We start from the raw sequence: 7,958 nt of genomic DNA, 5'->3' as shown, positions 1-7,958 counted from the left end.
CCTGTAATTCCAGTACATTGAGAGGTCAAGGCAGGCGGATCACATGAGGCCAGGAGTTCGAGACCAGCCTGGCCAACATGGTGAAACCCTGTCTCCACTAAAAATACAAAAAAATTAGCCAGACGTGGTGGCAGGCACCTGTAATCCCAGCTCCTTGGGAGGCTGAGGCAGGAGAATCACTTGAACCTGGGAGGTAGAGGTTGCCATGAGCTGAAATTGTGCCACTGCACTCAAGCCTGGGCAACAGAGCAAGACTCTGTCTCAGAAAAAGAAAAAAAAAGTCTGAAGATGGCGGCCTTAGCAGGGAGAGGTGCCATGGTGCTGCGTAGAAGTATCAGTCGGCCAGTTGTTTTTGTGAGAAAAATTCCTTGGACCAAGACAAGGAGACTGGCTTTCACAGAGGTTTGGGTTGGGTTCAGTGTTCTTCAGAACTTCAGAATGCACTACAGCAGGAATATCATATTATAGGTGGAGTAAAGCTCCAGGTTTAAGCTCAAAGGCCAAAAGTTTTGCAAACATCTGATGATGAAGAGAAAGATTTTTGAGACTGTTTCAGCTTATTAAATAAAGTTAACATAACTGAGAAAAACAACAAACTAACAAACAAATGTCCTCATTGGCTACCAGGGATGATAAACTCCAAAGGGAAGACGGGTGAGTGAGAGCTTATCCCCTCCACCAGCTAACCTCAAGGTTCTCACGCGGTTCCGAGGCGGCCTGTGGTGATAACTCCATTCCCTTTCCCCGCAGTGGTGGATATTTGGGAAGTGATCTTCCTGCCTTGACACACGACGTGTCCCACAAATACTTCATGCAGTTGTGAGATGCAAGGACCAGGTCACTCCTGAGGACGAGGAAGCTGGGCTTGGGGGCTGGCACAGAGAGTGGTGGGTGTTTGTCACGTGTTTATGACTTTCAGTAAGACTGAGTCTCTGAGTCTCTGACCTTGTATTTTTATTTTTATTTACTTATTTATTTATTTATTTTGAGATAGAGTCTCACTCTGTCTCCCAGGCTGGAGTGCAGTGGCATGATCTCTGCTCACTCCAACCTCCACCTCCCGGGTTCAAGCAATTCTCATTCCTCAGCCTCCTGAGTAGCTGGGATTACAGGCCTGTGCCACCTCACCTGGCTAATTTTTGAATTTTTAGTAGAGACAGGGTTTCACCATGTTGGCCAGGCTGGTCTCGAACTCCTGACCTCAAGGGATACTTGTGCCTCGGCCTCCCGAAGTTCTGAGATTACACGCATGAGCCACCGCACCCGGCCTGCCCTTTACTCTTACACCTGGGTGGCTCTGCAGCCTTTCTCTAAGTCCTTCCTTCCAGACACCTTGATTCTTCAACTCCCATGCGTCTGTCCTGCTTTAATAACCATGAGTACTGTGAGGTCAGTGAGTCCCAAGGCAGCACAATTCACTGGTCTGAGGGGTGGGCTGTGGATCTTAATCCTCTCATCTTGGGACCCTCAGCTATGTCCCTGGAAGCTTCTGCATCTCTCTCTATTAAGTGGAGATAAATAACTCCTATTCCTCAGGCTATGATAAGTCAGTGAGGTGATGAATGGAAAATGCCTATGTAGGGCTGGGTGCAGTGGCTCACACCTGTAATCTCAGCAGGTTGGGAGGCTGAGGGGGGAGGATTGCTCGGGCCTAGGAGTTGGAGGCTGCAGTGAGCCATGATCATGCCACTACACTCCAGCCTGGGTGACAAGAGGGATACTGACTCTGAAAAAATATATATTTTTTAAAAAAAGAAAATGCCTCCAAAATAATGAGGATTATATAAGAAAAAAGAAAGAAAGAAAATGCCTATTTAGGGAAGTCACCTGCAGTTCCTATTATGATGTTTCTTTGTTTGTTTGTTTTTTATTTTATGAGACAGAGTCTTGTTCTGTTGCCCAGGCTGGAGTGCAGTGGCGATCTTGACTCATTGCAACCTCCGCTTCCCAAGCTCACACAATCCTCGTGCCTTAGCCTCCTGAGTAGCTGAGATTACAGCCGTGCACCACCATGCCTGGCTAATTTTTGTATTTTTAGTAGAGATGAGGTTTCTCCATGTTAGCGAGGCTGGTCTTGAACTCCTCAAGTGATCCGCCTGCCTTCGCCTCCCAAAATGTTGGGATTACAGGCATGAGCCTCTGCGCCTGACCTTACTAGAATGTTAGAACAGGACCTTCAACCCCCTAGAGCATCCACAGTTGTCACATCTGGGCTTCCATGGCATCTGATTGTCAATTCTGGGAGGAGAAACAAAGCACACTGAGCTCTGGAGCTTGCCCACCCATGGGTCAGCTGGGAAACCTCAGGACAGTCTCCATTCTCATGGGAAAGGCCTGTAGATTCACCTCTGCCTGAGCCTGGGTAAGAAAATTGGTTTAATTCAAAGGTAAAGTGTTAGTAAGCTCTCCTGTCCCCACCTCCTGGCAATTCTAAATGCCGCATCTTACAATTAGCTTCCTTAATAAATAATAAAATGAATATTTTCATCTCCATCATTCTGTCCTGTGTGTCTTATTTTTCAATTGATTCTAAATTCTGTAAGGTGGCCAGGCGTGGTGGCTCACACCTGTAATCCCAGCACTTTGGGAGGCTGAGGCAGGTGAATCACTTGAGGTCAGGAGTTTGAGACCAGCCTAGCCAACATGGTGAAACCCCGTCTCTACTAAAAATACAAAAAAAAAAAAAAATAGCCAGGCATGGTGGTGTGCACCTGTAATTCCAGCTACTTGGGAGGCCAAGGTATGAGAATCACTGGAACCTGGGAGGCGGAGGTTACAGTGAGCTGAGATGGCACCACTGTACTCCAATAAAGCAAGGCTCAGTCTCAAAAAATAAATAAATAAATAAATAAAATAAATTATGTAAGGGAAGAAAGGGATGTTATTTACTGACTTCCTAAGACTCCAACGAAGTGAAAAATGCAAAACTACAACCTCAGCACCAACAAGCAGGTTCCAGAGCCCCTTTGGGTCCTAGGTAATTAACCTGAGCCAAATGAGAAGGCATAATTTTACTTCATGGCAGCGTAATTTATGCTGTCCTCACAGGCCATAGGTTAACCAGGGCCTGTGGAAAATGATTTAGTCTGCTAATACAGCACACCAATGACATGAAGCTAGTGATTTTTTTTTTAACTCAAAAAAATATTTTTTAGACCAGGCATGGTGGCTCACACCTGTAATCCCAGCACTTTGGGAGGCTAAGGCGGGTGGATCACCTTAGGTCAGAAGTTCAAGACAAGCCTGGCCAACATGGTGAAACCCTGTCTCTACTAAAAATACAAAAATTAGCTCGGTGTGGAGCTGAGTGCCTGTAACCTCAGCTACCCAGGAGGCTGAGGCAGGAGAATCACTTGAACTGGGAGGTAGAGGTTGTAGTGAGCCAAGATCGTGCCTTTGTATTCCAGCCTGGGAGACAAGAGCAAAATTCCGTCTCAAAAAAAAAAAAAAACAATTTTTTTTTAGAGACAGAGTCTTGCTCTGTTGCCCAGGCTGCTGTGCAGTGGTGCAATCATAGCTCACTGCAAACTCCAACTCCTGGGCTTTAGTGATCCTCTTGCCTCAGCCTTCCAAGTAGCTGAGACTATAGGCTCACACCATCATACCTGGCTAATTTTTTAAAATTATTATTATTGTTGTTATTCTGAGACACAGTTTCATTCTGTCGCCCAGTGGCACGATTCTCAGTTCACTACAACCTCTGCCTCCCAGGTTCAAGCAATTCTCATGCCTCAGCCTCCTCAGTAGCCTCCTGAGTAGCTCCTGAGGGACTACAGGTGCCTGCCACCATACCCAGCTAATTTTTGTATTTTTAGTAGAGACAGGATTTTACCATGTTGTCCAGGCTCGTCTGGAGCTCCTGACTTCGAGTGATCCACCCACCTTGGTCTCCCAAAGTGCTGGGATTACAGGCTTGAGCCATCATGCCAGGCCTAAAAAATTTTTGTAGTGACAGGGTCTCACTTTGTTGCCCAGGCTGGTCTTGAACTCCTGGGCTTAAGTGGTTTTCCCACCTCAGCCTCCCAAAGCACTGGGATTACAAGCTTGAGTCATTGTGTCTGGCCTGAAGCTAATAATTAAATAAGGCACCCTGGTGAACCTGTGTCACCACTGCAGGCAAGAGATAGGAGATTTATTCTCTGAAGGATGTAACCAAAGGAGCCACAGTAAGAAGGACAAGGGGTGGGCAGTGAGCTGCAGGAAATACATCAGACTGAAGCCACAGTCTACACTTCAGAGTGTTGAATTCTGTATCAGTTATCTTGCGCTGTGTAACAAACAACTCAAAATTGTAACGTCTTAAAAATAATCACCATTTTATTTGTTTACTCCATGGTCAGCAATCAGGGCTGGGCGTTTTTGGCAGGGGTTGTTCTGCTGGCCCCACCAGTCAGGCAGGATGCTGGCTGTATCCTTTATGGTGGCTTCATTTGCAAGTCTGGTGACAGTGCTGGCTGGATGCTGGGCCTGTTTCTGCTCCAGGTCTCTTATCCACAAGATTCTAGAAGACAATGGAGCAATACCTTCCTTATGCCAAGGCAGTGGTTTTCAAACTATTGATCAATCTTGAGGTTAAAATACATTTTCACACACACATGGACTCAATGCATAGACTCAAAAATTTTATTTTCTCTGTATCCTTTCTTGGGTACGAAAGAAAGAGAGAGAAAGAGAAAGGGAGTGAGAGAGGGAGGGAGAAAGTGCAGAAGGTGAGGGAAAGAAAGAGAGAGAGGGGGGCGGGAAGGGGAGAGGAGATGAGGGAAGGGGAAGAGAGAGGGGAGGGAAGAACCAAAAGGTTATCAGATGATTGGAAGCAATTGGGAAAGATTATTTATAGGTAGGTGACGGCACTGATGAAAACAAAGAAAGCAAATGTTGGTGCACTATTCAGTTCTGCAGTTTATCACAATTATAATAATATTGTAAATATTAACTACCGGTTGGGAGAAGGAGTCACTGGTAGTGAGGGTGTGGCATGAGAGGTAAATTCTATCTCCTCCAAAACAGATCAATGGCTGCATTAAGAAAAAGCCACTGTAATCATGTGATAACTGCAGAACAAAATACCAGAAGAAAGCACTGAAAAGAGCTGGAAAGGATTGCCCCTGGGGAGACAGACAGGAGTATTGGGCAGAGGCGGGCAGAGCAAAGGGTAATGTTGTTTGTTGTACACTCTCTAGACATTTGATTTTCTTTTTTTCTGAGATGGCGTCTCGCTTTGTTGCCCTGGCTGGAGTGCAGTGGCACGATCTCAGCTCACTGCAACCTCCACCTCCCAGGTTCAAGCGATTCTCCTGCCTCAGCCTCCCAGGGAGCTGGGATTACAGGCACCCACCACTCCTGGCTAATTTTTTGTATTTTTAATAGAGATGGGGTTTCACCATGTTGGCCAGGCTGGTCTCAAACTCCTGACCTCAACTGATCTGCCTGCCTCGGCCTCCCAAAGTGCTGGGATTACAGGCATGAGCCACTGCGCCCGGCCAGACGTATGTGATCTTCAACCTAGACAAATAATAATGTAAAAAACCCTTTTAAGGCTGGGCGCAGTAGCTCACACCTGTAACCCCAGAACTTTGGGAGGCCAAGGCAGGTGGATCACTTGAGGTCGGGAGTTTGAGACCAGCCTGGCCAACATGGTGAAACCCCGTCTCTACTAAAAATACAAAAATTAGCCAGCCATGGTGGTGGGCACCTGCAGTCCCAGCTACTTGGGAGGCTGAGGCAGGAGAATCACTTGAACCCAGGAGGCGGAGGTTGCAGTGAGCCGAGATCATGCCACTGCACTCCAGCCTGGGTGATAGAGCAAGACTCTGACTCAAAAACAAAAACAAAACCCTTTTAAAATAACACTCACCACTGCCATTTGTTGGGACTCGGAAGTGAGTTTACAGAGCAACGATTTGTTTTGGAAATGCTGAGTGGTCCTTGACTCCTGTCCCGTGGCTGCAGAGCCCAGTCCGGGGACTGCTCCCAGGCCACATGACATTTATTCAGCTCATCCTAATAATCCCAGGCCAGTCCTGGCCTCGGTTTCTTGGGTTGATAGCAGCCTTCTTGACTTGGCATGTCACTTTGGAAATACTCAGAGGAAGAAAAATGCAAACAAGCGTGGGAAGTGTGTCTTGTACATCTGCCATGCATGCTCATCCCCTATATTTTGAGGCAGAGCCATATGCCAAGCACTTACAGTAAACCCACCCTGGCTAAATATTTACATATATTGCTTCATTTTCATAATCACAGGAAGCCAAGTGTTACTGTCCCATATTCCAGATGAGGAAGTTGCTATTGAGACAGTAAATGACAGAGCTACGAGTGGAACCCAGCAACCTGAGTGATTCCAAGCCCAAATTCACTGTGCTCTGCAATACGGATTCATTCCTCAGCACAGCTGGCCTACAAAGAGGTGTGACCAGCTTAGTCCTACAAATGTTTCTTAAAGTCCACTCTTCCTTAACAAGTTATTTATTTATTTATTTAAGAGTTTAGCTCTTTTTGTCCAGGCTGGAGTGCAGTGGCACGATCTTGGCTCACTGCAACCTCCGCCTCCCGGGTTCAAGTGTTTCTCCTGCCTCAGCCTCCCTAGTAGCTGGGATTATAGGCGCCCACCACCATGCCCGGCTAATTTTTTGTATTTTTAGTAGAGACGGGGTTTCACTGTGTTAGCCAGGATGGTCTCGATCTCCTGACCTTCCGATCCACCCGCCTCAGCCTCCCTCCCAAAGTGCTGGGATTAGAGGCATGAGCCACCGCACCCAACCAACATGTTATTATTTTGACTAGCGCAGTTGTTGGCAGAACGCACAGCACTGAAAGGCCATACTTTCCATTCAAACCAGAACTTTCTTTGAATGCAGCAAGAAGGTAATGGCACTCCAAGAAAACAAGCAAGGAACAACTAAGAAACCCTACCCTGTCTTTTCTCACTTAGGCTGAAAAATGCTGATATGGAAAGTGTGGCCCATTGCTCTTTTTCCTTTCAGTTCTTCCTTAAACTCATCAGGAAGGCAGAGAGCATTGGCAGAATGTGCACAAAAAGTGAAGTCAGGCTAGGTGGGGTGGCTCACGCCTGTAATCCCAGTACTTTGGGAGGCCAAGGCAGGTGGATCACTTGAGGTCAGGAGTTCCAGACCAGCCTGGCCAACATGGTGAAACCCCGTCTCGACTAAAAACACAAAAATTATCTGGGTGTGGTGGCATGCGTCTGTAATCCCAGCTGCTTGGGAGGCTGAGGCAGGAGAATCGCTTGAATCCTGGAGGCAGAGGTTGCAGTGAGCAGAAATCACACCACTGCACTCTAGCCTGGGTGACAGAGCGAAACAATGTCTCAAAAAAAAAAAGTAGTGAAATCAAAACAATTGAGTTAGTTTTGTGCAATGCTTTCACTGTTCTTGGAATAAAATACACATGTGAGCTACATATAAGAGCTACATCATGTCAATGATTCCACAGACAAGTTAATAGGTCTTATGTTTGTGTTTGAAATTGGCATTGAACAATATAAAATGACACTTTTCTCCAGGTTTTTGAACAAGAGGCTCCACAAATTATGCAGCTGGAGGGTCAGATGGTAAGTGGTGGGTAGTGACATTCAGTGAAGGAAGAGACCTCACATTTTTTTTTGTTCGTTTTGTTTTGTTTTTTCAAATGTTTATTTTATGTACAAAGAACTATCATGGTTTTTCATTGAGTAGATGACTTGGATAATCCTTTGAAGGAAGATCATTTAGTCCAACTTAATGAAACCGATATCCTTCGCGTACTGACAGAAACATTGGCGGCACTTATTGAGGCCATATTTCCGGATCAGACCGTGCTGGTTTGAATAGACACGACAAGAACGAGAACCCTGGCCGAATTTTTTTGGGTGGCTCCAGTACAGCTGCTGGTGACCCATCTTGCTCCTAGCAGTGCAACGAGGTAAAAGGAGACCTCACATTTTTATAAAATAGATCCAA

General features: G+C 46.2%; 2 pseudogenes; one reads left to right on the top strand and one right to left on the bottom strand.

Moving 5' to 3' along the window:
- On the top strand, nucleotides 280-586 carry SLIRPP2 (SLIRP. pseudogene 2; annotated as a pseudogene).
- RPS29P11 (ribosomal protein S29 pseudogene 11) lies at nucleotides 7,638-7,929 on the bottom strand (annotated as a pseudogene).

The sequence above is a fragment of the Homo sapiens genome, chromosome 4, assembly GCF_000001405.40.
Source record: "Homo sapiens chromosome 4, GRCh38.p14 Primary Assembly".
NCBI classification, from domain to species: domain Eukaryota; kingdom Metazoa; phylum Chordata; class Mammalia; order Primates; family Hominidae; genus Homo; species Homo sapiens.
The sequence above is the reverse complement of the archived record's forward strand: the minus strand, read 5'-3'. Positions and strand labels throughout refer to the sequence as shown.